Genomic DNA, 17,249 nt, shown 5'->3' with positions numbered 1-17,249 from the left:
GAGAAGAAAGAGATACTTGAACAGAAAAAATGCCTGAAGCAATGATGGCTGAAAACTTTCCAAATATGAAGAAAAAAAAGCTCACAGATTCAAGAAAACTAATCAATCAGAAATATGATTTTGAAAAGTAAAAATGTATGATTTACTTTGGCAAATCTTCTTGGTTAAATTGTCTAAAATCAAAGAAAGCTAGGAAAATTTTATAAGCCAGAGGAAAAAAGATTGTTTATATAAAGGAACAGTTACACAAATGACTGATGCCTTCTCATCAGAAACAATGAAAGTCAGAAACAATAAAGTAACATCTTTAAAGTAATAGAAGAAAAACCCAAGAGGTGAGGGATCGTGGCAGACAGGAGGCAGGACTAGATTGCAGCTCTGGACAGAGCAGCATGCAGAGGCTCATATTGTGAATTTTAGCCCCATATTGACTGCAAGAACAGACCAGCAATCCTGAGAGGACCCACAGACCGTGTGAAGGAAGCAGACTGCTCCTGCAGGATAAGGGAGACACCCCAAATACTGTGAGTTCCCCAACTGCAGAAGTGGAAAAGGGAGGCCTTACTCCCTCAAACACACCCCACAACTGGAGAAGCTGAAAGTCTGTTTGCAGGAGAAGTTCCCAACTTTACCTGGGCCTCAGTAAATTTAGAGAGCTGAGCCAAGCAAAATATAGGGGTAGAGGAAGCAGCAGAGAAGACCTCAGAGCTTGCTGGATCCCCAAGCAGCTCATTCCTGCCTGGCACCACAGAGATCCATCAGAAGTGTGGCCAAAGGAACAGAGGGTAAAACTCCACATGGAGGACTGCTCTACCTGAACTTTCTAACAATTTGAACAGGGGGAGAAGCCTCCTGGCCAGAACTTGGGGGAGGGCATGAATCTGGTTTGCAGACTTCACAGGTGGGGGAAGGACTAAAGCCCTTTTCTTTCACAGCTGGGAGGTGGAAAGCCTCAGGCAAGTTTTCAAGCCTGACTTTCCCCCCACCTGGAAACAGACTTGGAGCTGTTGCGGGGTTGGGGGCATGGTGGGAGTAAGACCAGCCCTTCAGTTTGCATGGGTGCTGGGTGAGGCCTGTGACTGACAGCTTCCCTCCACTTCCCCGACAACTCAGATGACTCAGCAGAGGCAGCCATAATCCTCCTAGGTACACAACTCCAGTGACCTGGGAACTTCACCCCCACACCATACAGAAGCTTCAGTAAGACGTGCCCAAGGAAAGTCTGAGCTCAGACACGCCTAGTCCCACCCCCAACTGATGGTCCTTCCCTACCCACCCTGGTAGCAGAAGACAAAGAGCATATAATCTTTGGAGTTCTAGGGCCCACCCACCTCTAGTCCCTCTCCACACTAGTATAGCTGATGCAGGAGGCCAACCAGCACAAAAATAGAGCATTAAACCACCAAAGCTAGGAACCCCTATGGAGTCCATTGCACCCTCCTCCACCTCCACCAGAACAGGCACTGGTATCCACAGCTGAGAGACCCATAGATGGTTCACATCACAGGACTCTGTACAGACAGTCCCCAGTACCAGCCCAGAGCTGGGTAGACTTGCTAGGTGGCAAGACCCAGAAGACAGGCAATAATCACTGCAGTTCAGCTCACAGGAAGCCACATCCATAGGAAAAGAGGGAGAGTACTACATCAAGGGAACACCCCATGGGATAAAAACATCTGAACAACAGCCTTCAGCCCTACCTTCCCTCTGACACAGTCTACCCAAATGAGAAGGAACCAGAAAACCAACCCTGGTAATATGACAAAACAAGGCTCATCACACTCCCAGTTCACCAGCAATGGATCCAAACCAAGAAGAAATCCCTGATTTACCTGAAAGAGAATTCAGGAGGTTAGTTATTAAGCTAATCAGGGAGGGACCAGAGAAAGGCAAAGCCCAATGCAAGGAAATCCAAAAAAAAAAAGGTATAAGAAGTAAAAGGTGAAATATTCAACAAAATAGATAGCTTAATAAAAAAACAATAAAAAATTCAGTAGACTTTGGACACACCTTTGGAAATGTGACATGCTCTGGAAAGTCTCAGCAATAGAACTGAACAAGTAGAAAAAATAAATTCAGAGCTCAAAGACAAGGACTTCAAATTAACCCAATCCAACAAAGACAAAGAATAAAGGATAAGAAAATATGAACAAAGCCTTCAAGATGTCTGGGATTATGTTAAATGACCAAATATAAGAATAATCGTGGCTCCTGAGGAAAAAGACAATACTAAAAGCTTGGAAAACATATTTGGGGGAATAACTGGGGAAAACTTACCTGGCCTTGCTGGACACCTAGACATGCAAATACAAGAAACACAAAGAACATGTAAATACAAGCAGCACAAAGAACACCTGGGAAATTCATCACAAAAAGATCTTAGCCTAGGCACATTCTCATCAGGTTATGCAAAGTTAAGACGAAGGCAAGAATCTTAAGAGCTGTGAGACAGAAGCACCAGGTAATGTATAAAGGAAACCCTATCAGATTAACAGCCAGTTTTTCAGCAGGAACTGTACAAGCTATAAAGGATTGGAGCCCTATCATAGCCTCCTCAAACAAAACAATTATCAGTCAAGAATTTTGTATCCAGCGAAAGTAAGCATCATATATGAAGGAAAGATACAGTCGTTTTTGGACAAACAAATGCTAAGAGAATTCACCATTACCAAGTCACCACTAGAAGAACTGCTAAAAGGAGCTCTAAATCTTGAAACAAATCCTAGAAACACATGAAAACAGAATCTCTTTAAAGCATAAATCACACAGGACCTATAAAACAAAAGTACAAGTTAAAAAACAAAAACAAAAAACAAAACCAAAGTACGGAGGCAATAAAGAATATGATGAATGCAGTGGCACCTCACATTTCAATGCTAAAATTGAATCTAAATGGCCTAAATGCTCCACTTAAAGGATACAAAAAGAGTTGGTGGCTGGCAAGATGGCTGAATAGGAACAGCTCCAGTCTGCCGCTCCCCGTGAGATCAACACATAGGGTGGGTCATTTCTGCATTTCCAACCAAGGTACCCGGCTCATCTCATTGGGACTGGTTAGACAGTGGGTGCAGCCCACAGAGGGTGACCTGAAGCAGGGTGGGGTGTCACCTCACCTGGGAAGTGGAAGGGGTCAGGGAACTCCCTCCCCTAGCCAAAGGAAGCCGTGAGGGACTGTGCCGTGAAGACCAGTGCATTCTGGCACAAATACTATGCTTTTCCCACGGTCTTTGCAACCTGAAGACCAGGAGATTCCCTTGGGTGCCTACACCACCAGGGCCCTGGATTTCAAGCCCAAAACTGGGCTGGCATTTGGGCAGACACTAAGCTAGCTGCAGGAGTTTTTTTTCATACCCCAGTGGTCCCTGGAATGCCAGCAAGACAGAACCATTCACCCCCGTGAAGAAAGGGCTGAAGCCAGGGAGCTAAGTGGTCTTTCTCAGTGGATCCCACCCCCATGGAGCCCAGCAAGCTAAGCTCCACTGGCTTGAAATTCTTGCTGCCAGCACAGCAGTCTGAAGTTGACCTGGGACGCTCAAGCTTGGTGGGAGGAGGGGTATCCACAAATACTGGGGCTTGAGTAGGAGGTTTTCCCCTCACAGTGTAAGCAAAACCGCTAGGAAGTTTGAACTGGGCAGGGTGCACTGCAGCTTGGCAAAGCCATTGTAGCAAGAGTGCCTCTCTAGATTCCTCCTCTCTGGGCAGGGCATCTCTGAAAGAAAGGCAGCAGCCCCAGTCAGAAGCTTATAGATAAAACTCCCATCTCCCTGGGACAGAGCAACTGGAGGAAGGGGTGGCTGTGAGTGCAGCTCCAGCAGACTTAGTTTCCTGCCTGCCAGCTCTGAAAAGAGCACCAGATCCCCCAACACAGCACTAGAGCTCTGATAAGGGACAGACTGCCTCCTCAAGTGGGTCCTGGTTTCAGAAGATAATAAGAAACTCCTCTGAGCTAAAGGAGCATGTTCTAACACAATGCAAGGAAGCTAAGAACCTTGAAAAAGGTCAGAGGAATTGCTAACTACAGTAAGCAGTTTAGAGAAGAACATAAATGACCTTAGGGAGCTGAAAAACACAGCACGAGAACTTCATGACACATACACAAGTATCAATAGCAAAATCGATCAAGTGGAAGAAAGGATATCAGAGATTGAAAATCAACTTAATGAAGTAAAGCGTGAAAACAAGATTAAGGAATAAAGAATGAAAAGGAATGAACAAATCCTCCAAGTATGGGACTATGTGAAAAGATTGAACCTACGTTTGATTGGTGTACCTGAAAGTGATGGGAGAATGGAACCAAGTTGGAAAACACTCTTCAGGATATTATCCAGGAGAACTTCCCCAACCTAGCAAGACAGGCCAACATTCAAATTAAGGAAATACAGAGAATACCACATTCAAATTCAGGAAATACAGAGAACACCACAAAGATACTCCTCAAGAAGAGCAACCTGAAGACACATAATCGTCAGATTCACCAAGGTTGAAATGAAGGAAAAAAATGTTGAGGGCAGCCAGAGAGAAAGTTTGGGTTACCCACAAAGGGAACCCCATCAGACTAACAGTGGATCTTCCTGCAGAAACTCTACAAGCCAGAAGAGAGTGGGAGGCCAATATTCAACATTCTTTTTTACTATTATTATACTTTAAGTTCTAGGGTACATGTGCACAAGGTGCAGGTTTGTTACATATGTATACATGTGCCATGTTGGTGTGCTGCACCCATTAACTCTTCATTTACATTAGGTATATCTCCTAATACTATCCCTCCCCACTCCCCCCATCCCATGACAGGCCCCGGTGTGTGATGTTCCCCACTCTGTGTCCATGTACTCTCATTGTTCAATTCCCACCTATGAGTGAGAACATTCGGTGTTTGGATTTCTGTCCTTGTGATAGTTTGCTGAGAATGATGGTTTCCAGCTTCATCCACATCCCTACAAAGGACATGAAGTCATCCTTCTTTATGGCTGCATAGTATTCCATGGTGTATATGTGCCACATTTTCTTAATCCAGTCTACCATTGATGGACGTTTGTGTTGGTTCCAAGTCTTTGCTATTGTGAATAGTGCCGCAATAAACATATGTGTGCATGTGTCTTTATAGCAGCATGATTTATAATCCTTTAGATATATATCCAGTAATTGTATGGCTGTGTCAAATGGTATTTCTAGTTCTAAATCCTTGAGGAATCACCGCACTGTCTTCCACAATGGTTGAACTAGTTTACAGTCCCACCACCAGTGTAAAAATGTTCCTATTTCTCCACATCCTCTCTAGCATCTGTTGTTTCCTGACTTTTTAATGATCACCATTCTAACTGGTATGAGATGGTATCTCATTGTGGTTTTGATTTGCATTTCTCTGATGGCCAGTGATGGTGAGCACTTTTTCATGTGTCTCTTGACTGCATAAAAGTTTTCTTTTGAGAATTGTCTGTTAATATCCTTTGCCAACTTTTTGATGGGGTTGTTTGATTTTTTTTCTTGTAAATTTGTTTATGTTCTTTGTAGATTCTGGATATTAGCCCTTTGTCAGATGGGTAGATTGTAAAAATTTTCTCCCATTCTGTAGCTTGCCTGTTCATTCTGAGGGTAGTTTCTTTTGCTGTGCAGAAGCTCTTTAGTTTAATTAGATCCCATTGGTCAATTTTGGCTTTTGTTGCTATTGCTTTTGGTGATTTAGTCATGAAGTCCTTGCCCATGCCTATGTCCTGAATGGTATTGCTTAGGTTTTCTTCTAGGGTTTATATGGTTTTAGGTCTAACATTTAAGTCTTTAATCCATCTTGAATTAATTTTTATATAAGGTGTAAGGAAGGGATCCAGTTTCAGCTTTCTACATATGGCTAGGCAGTTTTCCCAGCACCATGTATTAAATAGGGAAACCTTTCCCTATTTCTTGTTTTTGTCAGGTTTGTCATAGATCAGATGGTTGTAGATGTGTGGTATTATTTCTGAGGGCTCTGTTCTGTTCCATTGGTCTATATCTCTGTTTTGGTACCAGTACCATGCTGTTTTGGTTACTGTAGCCTTGTAATGTAGTTTGAAGTCAGGCAGAGTGATGCCTCCAGCTTTGCTTTTTTGGCTTAGGATTGTCTTGGCAATGCATGCTCTTTTTTGTTCCATATGAACTTTAAAGTAGTTTTTTCCAATTCTGTGAAGAAAGTCATTGGTAGCTTGATGGGGATGGCATTGAATCTATAAATTACCTTAGGCAGTATGGCCATTTTCACAATATTGATTCTTCCTATCCATGAGCATGGAATGTTCTTCCATTTGTTTGTGTCCTCTTTTATTTCATTAAGCAGTGGTTTGTAGTTCTCCTTGAAGAGGTCCTTCCCATCCCTTGTAAGTTGGATTCCTAGGTATTTTATTCTCTTTGAAGCAATTGTGAATGGGAGTTCATCCATGTCCCTACAAAGGACATGAAGTCATGTATGGGAATGCTTGTGATTTTTGCACATTGATTTTGTATCTTGAGACTTTGCTGAAGTTGCTTATCAGCTTAAGGAGATTTTGGTCTGAGAAGATGGGGTTTTCTAAATATACAATCATGTCATCTGCAAACAGGGACAATTTAACTTCCTCTTTTCCTAACTGAATACCCTTTATTTCCTTCTCCTGCCTAATTGCCCTGGCCAGAACTTCCAACACTATGTTGAATAGGAGTGGTGAGAGAGGGCATCCCTGTCTTGTGCCAGTTTTCAAAGGGAATGCTTCCAGTTTTTGCCCATTCAGTATGATATTGGCTATGGGTTTGTCATAAATAGCTCTTATTATTTTGAGATATGTCCCATCAATACATAGTTTATTGAGAGTTCAGCATGGAGAGCTGTTGAATTTTGTCAAAGGCCTTTTCTGCATCTATTGAGATAATCATGTGGTTTTTGTCTTTGGTTCTGTTTATATGATGGATTACATTTATTGATTTGCATATGTTGAACCAGCCTTGCATCCCAGGGATAAAGCCAACTTGATCATGGTGGATAAGCTTTTTGATGTGCTGCTGGATTCGGTTTGCCAGTATTTTATTGAGGATTTTTGCATCAATGTTCATCATGGATGTTGGTCTAAAATTCTCATTTTTGTTGTGTCTCTGCCAGGATTTGGTATCAGGATGATGCTGGCCTCATAAAATGAGTTAGGGAGGATTCCCTCTTTTTCTATGATTGGAATAGTTTCAGAAGAATTGGTACCAGCTCCTCTTTGTATCTGTGGTAGAATTCGGCTATGAATCTCTCCTGGACTTTTTTTGGTTGGTAGGCTCTTAATTATTGCCTCAATTTCAGAGCCTGTTATTGGTCTATTCAAGGATTCAATTTCTTTCTGGTTTAGTCTTGGTAGGGTGTATGTGTCCAGGAATTTTTCCATTTCTTCTAGATTTTCTAGTTTATTTGCACAGAGGTGTTTATAATATTCTCTGATGGTAGTTTGTATTTCTGTGGGATTGGTAGTGATATCCCCTTTATCATTTTTTATTGCATCTATTTGATTCTTCTCTCTTTTCTTCTTTATTAGTCTTGCTAGTGGTCTATCAATTTTGTTGATCTTTTCAAAAAACCAGCTCCTGGATTCATTGATGTTTTGAAGGTTTTTTTGTGTCTCTATCTCCTTCAGTTCTGCTCTGGTCTTAGTTATTTCTTGCCTTCTGCTAGCTTTTTAATGTGTTTGCTCTTGCTTCTCTAGTTCTTTTAATGGTGATGTTAGGGTGTCAATTTTAGATCTTTCCTGCTTTCTCTTGTGGGCATTTAGTGCTGTAAATCTCCCCCTACACACTGCTTTAAATGTGTCCCAGAGATTCTGGTATGTTGTGTCTTTGTTGTCATTGGTTTCAAAGAATATCTTTATTTCTGCCTTCATTTCGTTACATACCCAGTAGTCACTCAGGTGCAGGTTGTTCAGTTTCCATATAGTTGAGCAGTTTTTAATGAGTTTCTTAATCCTGAGTCCTAGTTTGATTGCACTGTGGTCTGAGAGACAGTTTGTTATAATTTCTGTTCTTTTACATTTGCTGAGGAATGCCTCACTTCCAACTATCTGGTCAATTTCAGAATAAGTGCGATGTGGTGCTGAGAAGAATGTATATTCTGTTGATTTGGGGTGGAGAGTTCTGTAGATGTCTATTAGGTCTGCTTGGTGCAGAGCTGAGTTCAATTCCTGGATATCCATGTTAACTTTCTGTCTCATTGATCTGTCTAATGTTGACAGTGGGGTGTTAAAGTCTCCCATTATTATTGTGTGGGAGTCTAAGTCTCTTTGTAGGTCTCTAAGGACTTGCTTTATGAATCTAGGTGCTCCTGTATTGGGTGCATATATATTTAGGATAGTTAGCTCTTCTTGTTAAATTGGTCCCTTTACCATTATGTAATGGCCTTCTTTGTCTCTTTTGATCTTTGTTAGTTTAAAGTCTGTTTTATCAGAGACTAGGATTGCAACCCCTGCTTTTTTTGTTGTTTTCCATTTGCTTGGTAGATCTTCCTCCATCCCTTTATTTTGAGCCTATGTGTGTCTCTGCACGTGAGATGTGTCTTCAGAATACAGCACACTGATGGATCTTGACTCTTTATCCAATTTTCCAGTCTGTGTCTTTTAATTGGAGCATTTAGCCCATTTACATTTAAGGTTAATATTTTTATGTGTGAATTTGATCCTGTCATCATGATGTTCGCTGGTTATTTTGCTCATTAGTTGATGCAGTTTCTTCCTAGCATCGATGGTTTTTACAATTTGGCATGTTTGTGCAGTGGCTGATACCGATTGTTTCTTTCCATGTTTAGTGCTTCCTTCAGGAGCTCTTGTAAGGCAGGCCTGGTGGTGACAAAATCTCTCAGCATTTGCTTGTCTGTAAAGGATTTTATTTCTCCTTCACTTATGAAGCTTAGTTTGGCTGGATATGATATTCTCAGTTGAAAATTCTTTTCTTTAAGAATGTTGAATATTGGCTGCCACTCTCTTCTGGCTTGTAGAGTTTCTGCTGAGAGATCTGCTGTTAGTCTGATGGGCTTCCCTTTGTGGGTAACCCGACCTTTCTGGTGAATCTGACAATTATGTGTCTTGGAGTTACTCTTCTCGAGGAGTATTTTTGTGGCATTCTCTGTATTTCCTGAATTTGAATGTTGGCCTGCCTTTGTAGGTTGGGGAAGTTCTCCTGGATAATATCCTGAAGAGTGTTTTCCAACTTGGTTCCATTCTCCTCGTCACTTTCAGGTACACCAAGCAGATGTAGATTTGGTCTTTTCACATAGTCCCATATTTATTGGAGGCTTTGTTCATTTCTTTTTACTCCTTTTTTTCTCTAAACTTCTCTTCTCGCTTCATTTCATTCATTTGATCTTTAATCACTGATACCCTTTCTTCCACTTGATTGAATCAACTACTGAAACTTGTTCATGTGTCACGTAGTTCTCGTGCCATGGTTTTCAGCTCCATTAGATCATTTAAGGTCTTCTCTATGCTGTTTATTTTAGTCTGCCATTCATCTAAACTTTTTCAAGGTTTTTAGCTTCTTTGCAATGGGTTCGAACATCCTTCTTTAGCTCGGAGAAATTTGTTATTACAGATCGTCTGAAGCCTTCTTCTCTCAACTCATCAAAGTCATTCTCTGTCCAGCTTTGTTCTGTTGCTCGTGAGGAGCTGCGTTCCTTCGGAGGAGAAGAGGCACCCTGATTTTTAGAATTTTCAGCTGTTCTGCTCTGGTTTCTCCCCATCTTTGTGGTTTATCTACCTTTGGTTCTTGATGATGGTGATGTACAGATGGGGTTTTGGTGTGGATGTCTTTTCTGTTTGTTAGTTTTCCTTCTAACAGTCAGGACCCTCAGCTGCAGGTCTGTTGGAGTTTGCTGGAGGTCCACTCCAGTCCCTGTTTGCCTGGGTATTACCAGTGGAGGCTGCAGAACAGCAAATATTACAGAACAGCAAATGTTGCTGCCTGATTCTTCCTCTGGAAGCTTCATCTCAGAGGGGCACCCAGCTGTATGAGGTGTCAGTTGGCCCCTACTGGGAGGTGTCCCCCAGTTAGGCTACTCGGGGGTCACGGACCCACTTGAGGAGGCAGTCTGTCCATTCTCAGATCTCAAACTCTCTGCTGGGAGAACCACTACTCTCTTCAAAGCTGTCAGACAGGGATGTTTAAGTCTGCAGAAGTTTCTGCTGCCTTTTGTTCAGCTATGCCCTGCCCCCAGAGGTGGAGTCTACAGAGGCAGGCAGGTCTCCTTGAGCTGTGGTGGGCTCCACCCAGTTTGAGCTTCCTGGTCGCTTTGTTTACCTACTCAAGTCTCAGCAATGGCAGACGCCCCTCCCCCAGCTTTGCTGCCGCCTTGCAGTTCGGTCTCAGACTACTGTGCTAGCAGTTCAATCTCAGACTGCTGTACTAGCAGTGAGCAAGGCTCTGTGGGCATGGGACCCTCTGAGCCATGTGCAGGATATAATCTCCTGGTGTGCCGTTTGCTAAGACCATTGGAAAAGTGCAATATTAGGGTGGGAGTGTCCCGATTTTCCGGGTACATCTGTCATGGCTTCCCTTGGCTAGGAAAGGGAATTCCCTGACCCCTTACACTTCCCGGGTGAGGCAATATCCCGCCTTGCTTCGGCTCACTCTCCGTGGGCTGCACCCACTGTCTGACAAGCCCCGGTGAGATGAACCCAGTACCTCAGCTGGAAATGCAGAAACCACCCATCTTCTGCTTTGCTCATGCTGGGAACTGTGGACTGGAGCTGTTCCTATTCGGCCATCTTGAAACCTCCCCTCTCTCACGATCACAAGGTCCCACAATAGGCCGTCTGCAGGCTGAGGAGCAAGAAAAGCCAGTCTGAATTCCAAAACTGAAGAAATTGGAGTCTGATGTTCAAGGGCAGGAAACATCCAGTGCCAAAGAAAGATGTAGAATATTCAACATTCTTAAAGAAAATAATTTTCAACCTAGAATTTCATATCCAGCCAAACTAAGCTTTATAACAAAGGAGAAGTAAAATCCTTTACAAACAAGCAAATGCTGAGGAATTTTGTCAACACCAGGCCTGCCTTACAAGAGGTCCTGAAGAAAACACTAAATATGGAAAGGAAAAACCAGTAACAGCTACTGCAAAAACATACCAAATTGTAAACACCATCAACACTATAAAGAAACTGCATCAACTAATGGGCAAAATAGCCAGCTAGCATCATAATGACAGGATCAAATTCACACATAACAATATTAACCTTAAATGTAAATGGGCTAAATGCCCCAATTAAAAGACACAGACTGGGAAATTGAATAAAGAGTCAAGACCCATTGGTTTGCTGTGTTCAGAAGACCCATCTCAGGGTGAAAAGACATACATGGGCTCAAAATAAAGAAATGAAGGAATATTTACCAAGCAAATGGAAAGAAAAAAAAAGCAGCGGTTGCAATCTTAGTCTTTGATGAAACAGACTTTAAACCATCAAAGATCAAAAGAGACAAAGGAGGGCATTACCTAATGGTAAAAGTATCAATGCAACAAGAAGATCTGACTGTCCTACTTATATATGCACCCAATACAGGAGCACCCAGATTAATAAAGCAAGTTCTTAGAGACCTACAAAGAGACTTAGACTTCCACACAAAAATAGTGGGAGACTTTAACACCCCACAGCCAATATTAGATCGACGTGACAGAAAATTAACAAGGATATTCAGGACGTGAATTCAGCTCTGGACCAAGCTGACCTAATAGACATCTACAGAACTCGACACCACAAATCAACAGAATATACATTCTTCTCAGCACCACATTGCACTTATTCTAAAATTGACCACATAATTGGAAGTAAAACACTTCTCAGCAAATGCCGTAGAATGGAAATCATAACAAACAGTCTCTCAGACCAAAGTGCAATCAAACTAGAACTCAGGATTAATAAACTCACTCAAAACCACACAACTATATGGAAACTGAACAACCTGCTCCTGAATTACTACTGGGTAAATAACAAAATTAAGGCAGAAGTAGATAAGTTCTTAGAAACCAAAGAGAACAAAGACACAATGTGCCAGAATCTCTGGTACACAGCTAAAGCCATGTTTAGAGGGAAATTTATAGCACTAAATGCCCACAGGAGAAAGCGGGAAAGATCTAAAATCAACACCCTAACATCACAATTCAAAGAACCAGAGAAGCAAGAGCAAACAAATACAAAAGCTAGCAGAAGACAAGAAATAACTAAGATCAGAGCAGAACTGAAGGGGATAAAGACACGAAAACCCTTTAAAAAATTAATAAATCCAAGAGCTGGTTTTTTGAAAAGATTAACAAAATACATAGAAGCCTAGCCAGACTAATAAAGAAGAAAATAGAGAAGAATCAAATAGACACAATAAAGAATAATAAAGGGGATATCACCAATGATGCCACAGAAATACAAACTACCATCAGAGAATACTTTAAACACCTCTATGCAAATAAAATAGAAAATCTAAAAGAAATGGATAAATTCCTGGACACATACACCCTCCCAAGACTAAACCAGGAAGAAGTCAAATCCCTGAATAGACCAATAACAAGTTCTGAAATCGAGGCAGTAATTAATAGCTTACCAACCAAAAAAAGCCCAGACCAGAGGGATTAACAGTCAAATCCTAACAGAGGTACAAAGAAGAGCTAGTACTATTCCTTCTGAAACTATTCCACACAATAGAAAAAGAGGGACTCCTGCCTAACTCATTTTATGAGGCCAGCATCATTCTGATACCAAAACCTGGCAGAGACACAACAAGAAAAGAAAATTTCAGGCCAACATCCCTGATGAACATCAATGTGAAAATCCTCAATAAAATACTGGCAAACTGAATCCAGCAGCACATCAAAAAGCTTATCCACCATGATCAAGTTGGCTTCATCCCTGGGATGCAAGGCTGGTTCAACATATTCAAATCAATAAACATAATCCATCACATAAACAGAACCAATGACAAAAACCGTATGATTATCGCAATAGACGCAGAAAAGGCCTTTGATAAAATTCAATACCCAATCATGCTAAAAACTCTTAATAAACTAGGTATTGATGGAGCATGTCTCAAAATAATAAGAGCTACTTATGACAAATGCATAGCCAATATCATACTGAATGAGCAGAAGCTGGAAGCATTCCCTTTGAAAACCAGCACAAGACAAGGATGCCCTCTCTCACCACTCCTATTCAACATAGTATTGGAAATTCTGTCCAGGGCAATCAGGCAAGAGAAAGAAATAAAGGTATTCAAGTGGGAAGAGAGGGAGTCAAATTATTTCTCTTTGCAGATGACATGATTGTATATTTAGAAAACTCTATCATCTCAGCCCAAAATCTCCTTAAGCTGATAAGCAACTTCAGCAAAGTCTCAGGATACAAAATCAATGTGCAAAAATCACAAGCATTCCTATACACCAATAAGAGACACAGAGCCAAATCCTGAGTGAATTCCCATTCACAATTGCTACAAAGAGAATAAAATATACCTAGGAATCCAACTTACAAGGGATGTGAAGGACCTCTTCAAGGAGAACTACAAACCACTGCTCAAGGAAATAAGATAGGACACAAACAAATGGAAAAACATTCCATGCTAATGGATTGGAAGAATCAATATTGTGAAAATTGCCATACTGCCCAAAGTGATTTATAGATTCAATGTTATCCCCATCAAGCTACCATTGATTTCTTCACATAATTAGAAAAAACTACTTTCAATTTCATATGGAATAGAAAAAGGGCCTGTATATCCAAGACAACCTAAGCAAAAAGAACAAAGCTGGAGGCATCATGCTATCTGACTTCAAAATATACTACAAGGCTACAGTAACAAAAACAGCATGGTATGGTACTGGTACCAAAACAGATATATAGACCAATAGAACAGAACAGAGGCCTCAGAAATAACACCACACATCTACAACTATTGGATCTTTGACAAACTGGACAAAAATAAGCAATGGGGAAAGGATTCCCTATTTAATAAATGGTGTTGGGAAAACTGGCTAGCCATATGCAGAAAACTGAAACTGGATCCCTTCCTTACACCTTATACACAAATTAACTCAAGATAGATTAAAGAATTAAATGTAAGACCTAAAACCATAAAAACCCTAGAAGACACTTTGGGAGGCCGAGGTGGATGGATCACGAGGTCAGGAGATCGAGACCATCTTGGCTAACACAGTGAAAGCCCATCTCTACTAAAAATACAAAAAATTAGCTGGGTGTGGTCGTGGGCACCTGTAGTCCCAGCTACTTGGGAGGCTGAGGCAGGAGAATGGCATGAGCTGAGGAGGTTGAGCTTGCAGCAAGCCAAGATTGTGCCACTGCACTCCAGCCTGGGCAACAGAGTGAGACTCCATCAAAAAAACAAAAACAAAAACAAAAAATCAAACCCTAGAAGAAAACATAGGCAATACCATTCAGGACATAGGCATGGGAGAAGACTTCATGACTAAAACAGCAAAACCAATGGCAACAAAAGCCAAAATTTACAAATCAGATCTAATTAAAATAAAGAGCTTCTGCACAGCAAAAAACTCTCATCAGAGTGAAAAAGCAACCTATGGAGAAAAATTCTGTGGTCTAGCCATCTGACAAAGGGCTAATGTTTAGAATGTACAAGCAACTTAAACAAATGTACAAGAAAAAAAAAACAACCCCATCAAAAAGTGGGCAAAGGATATGAACAGACACTTCTGACAGGAAGACCTTTATGTGGCTGACAAACATGAAAAAAGCTCATCATCACTGTTAATTAGAGAAATGCAAATCGAAACCACAATGAGATACCATCTCATGCCCGTTAGAATGGCGATCATTAAAAAGTCAGGAAACAACAGATGCTGAAGAGGATGTGTGGAGAAAGAGGAACACATTTACACTGTTGGTGGGAGTGTAAATTAGTTCAACCATTGTGGAAGACAGTGCGGTGATTCCTCAAGGATCTAGAACCAGAAGTACCATTTGACCCAGCAATCCCATTACTGGGTATATACCCAAAGGATTATAAATCATTCTACAATAAAGACACATGCACACGTATGTTTATTGTAGCACTATTCACAATAGCAAAGACTTGGAACCAACTGAAATGCCCATCAATGATAGACTGGATAAAGAAAATGTGGCACATATACACTGTGGAATACTATGCAGCCATAAAACAGGATGAGTTCATGTCTTTTGCAGGGACATGGATGAAGCTGGAAACCATCATTCTCAGCAAACTAACACAAGAACAGAAAACCAAACACCATATGTTCTCACTCATAAGTGTGAGTTGAACAATGAGAACACATGGACACAGGAAGGGGAACATCACACACAGGGGCCTGTTGGGGAGTTGAGGCTAGGGGAGGGATTGGATTAGGAGAAATACCTAATGTAGATGATGGGTTGCTGGGTGCAGCAAACCACCATGACACGTGTATACCTATGTAACAAACCCACACATTCTACACATGTATCTCAGAACTTAAAGTATAATAATAATAAGATACAGAACTGCAGAATGAATAAGAACTCACCAACCATCTGCTGCCTTCAGGAGACTCATTTAAGACATAAGGACTCACATAAACTTAAAGTAAATGGGTGGAAATAATAATAAGTGGTGTCACTGATGTGGAGGTAGATTATAAAACTCTTATCATATGCTGGTGGAAGATCAAAATGATAAAACGAATTAAAAAATCAGTCAGATGGTTTCTTAAAAAGTTCCATCAATATGCCTCTATCTTACAAACCTGCAATTCTATTCCTGAATCTTTATCCCAAGGAAATGAAAAAGTAAGTCCACAAAGAGTTCTATATGAATATTTATAGGAGCTTTATTTATTATAATTCAAACTGTAAAAATAATTTCAATGTTCATCAATAACAAAATGAAAAAATAATTTGCAACCTACTGGTACACTTGAATACTATTCAGCACTGAGTATCTTAAATAGCATGGATGGAGCTCAAAAATATACTCAGGAAAGAAGCCATGTATATTCTGTATGAGTTCATTTACATGAGATCATTTACATTTCCTCCAAAAGAGGAAAAACTAATTTCTGTTGAAAGAAACCAATGTATTTGCCTCTGGCAGTGGTAAGGGGGTAGCACAGATTAATTGGGTAGGGACTCAAGAGAGTTTCTGGGGTCACAGAAATGTTCCGTGTGGTGATGGGAGTTTGGGCTCCACAGGTATAGGTGTTGATCCAAAATCATCAAAAAAACAACATTGCAGATCTGTGCATCTCACTCTGTGGGAAAGTATATCTCAACTGTAAAAAGGGCAGAAATTGCTTTTAAACGCTCAGCCTTTTAGCACATCCAGTTGCTTGGAGAACCAGCTTACTCAAATGGGGGTCTAGGCTGGAGACTAGGTCACAGGCATAGAGTCTCTAAACTTTCCCATGGCACATAATACGTTTCAGGTTTTCTCAGAGAGCTGCAGGTTAGTAATCTGAGGATTCTGACAAGTTGGGTCAACGTTCCTAGGAGGCATGAATGGGAGTGCATTCTCTAAGATCCCTCCACCCCAGGGTCCTTGCTTTCTGTGCCTCTTACTCCATTGTTTTCTGACTCCTCTGTAGCCACTCGACCTCTTCAGATCCCATTGTCTACCCAGCCATCGCCCTTTATGACTTGGGTCCCACTGTTCTTTCATCTCATCCTCCATTCCCTCAGTTTCGGAGTGGCTGCCGCTAGCAGAGGATGGACTGAGAGCAGGAGAGGTGGTCCTGCCCAGGAACCCATCCTAGAGAAATGGCATCCTGTCTGGGAGCTAGTTTTTTAGGGCAGGTTTTATAAGTCTTGTAAAGCCAGACACACTTGATCTACCTGGTATGTTATTTACAGTAATACTATTTTCATAATTGCTTTTCACTCTAAAAGTAGAGCCTTTTAGCTACACTGTGAGTAAATAAAGGGGCTGGCCTGGGAATGGTATCATGTTGGATGTTGTTTCTTCCCTGAAGTAATATATATCAGTTACAATTTACATGTTACTGCAGAGTCCTAGAGAGAGACACAGAGAATGAGACAGATACCAATACATTTTTATGTGCATTAAAAAAATCTAAGGCCAGGCGCAGTGGCTCACACCTGTAATCCCAGCACTTTGGGAGGCCGAGGTGGGTGGATCACGAGGTCAGGAGATTGAGACCATCCTGGCTAACACGGTGAAACCCTGTCTCTACTAAAAATACAAAAAATTAGCCAGGCGTGGTGGCGGGCGCCTGTAGTCCCAGCTACTCAGGAGACTGAGGCAGGAGAATGGC

At 41.3% G+C, this 17,249-nt stretch overlaps 1 protein-coding gene across 1 annotated transcript in view; it reads left to right on the top strand.

Moving 5' to 3' along the window:
• LPA (lipoprotein(a)) overlaps positions 1 to 17,249 on the top strand; it is a 132,794-nt gene that overhangs the window by 89,006 nt on the left and 26,539 nt on the right. The gene's annotated exons all lie outside the window — the stretch shown is intronic.

This window comes from Homo sapiens, chromosome 6 (genome assembly GCF_000001405.40).
Source record: "Homo sapiens chromosome 6, GRCh38.p14 Primary Assembly".
Lineage (NCBI taxonomy): Eukaryota > Metazoa > Chordata > Mammalia > Primates > Hominidae > Homo > Homo sapiens.
The sequence above is the reverse complement of the archived record's forward strand: the minus strand, read 5'-3'. Positions and strand labels throughout refer to the sequence as shown.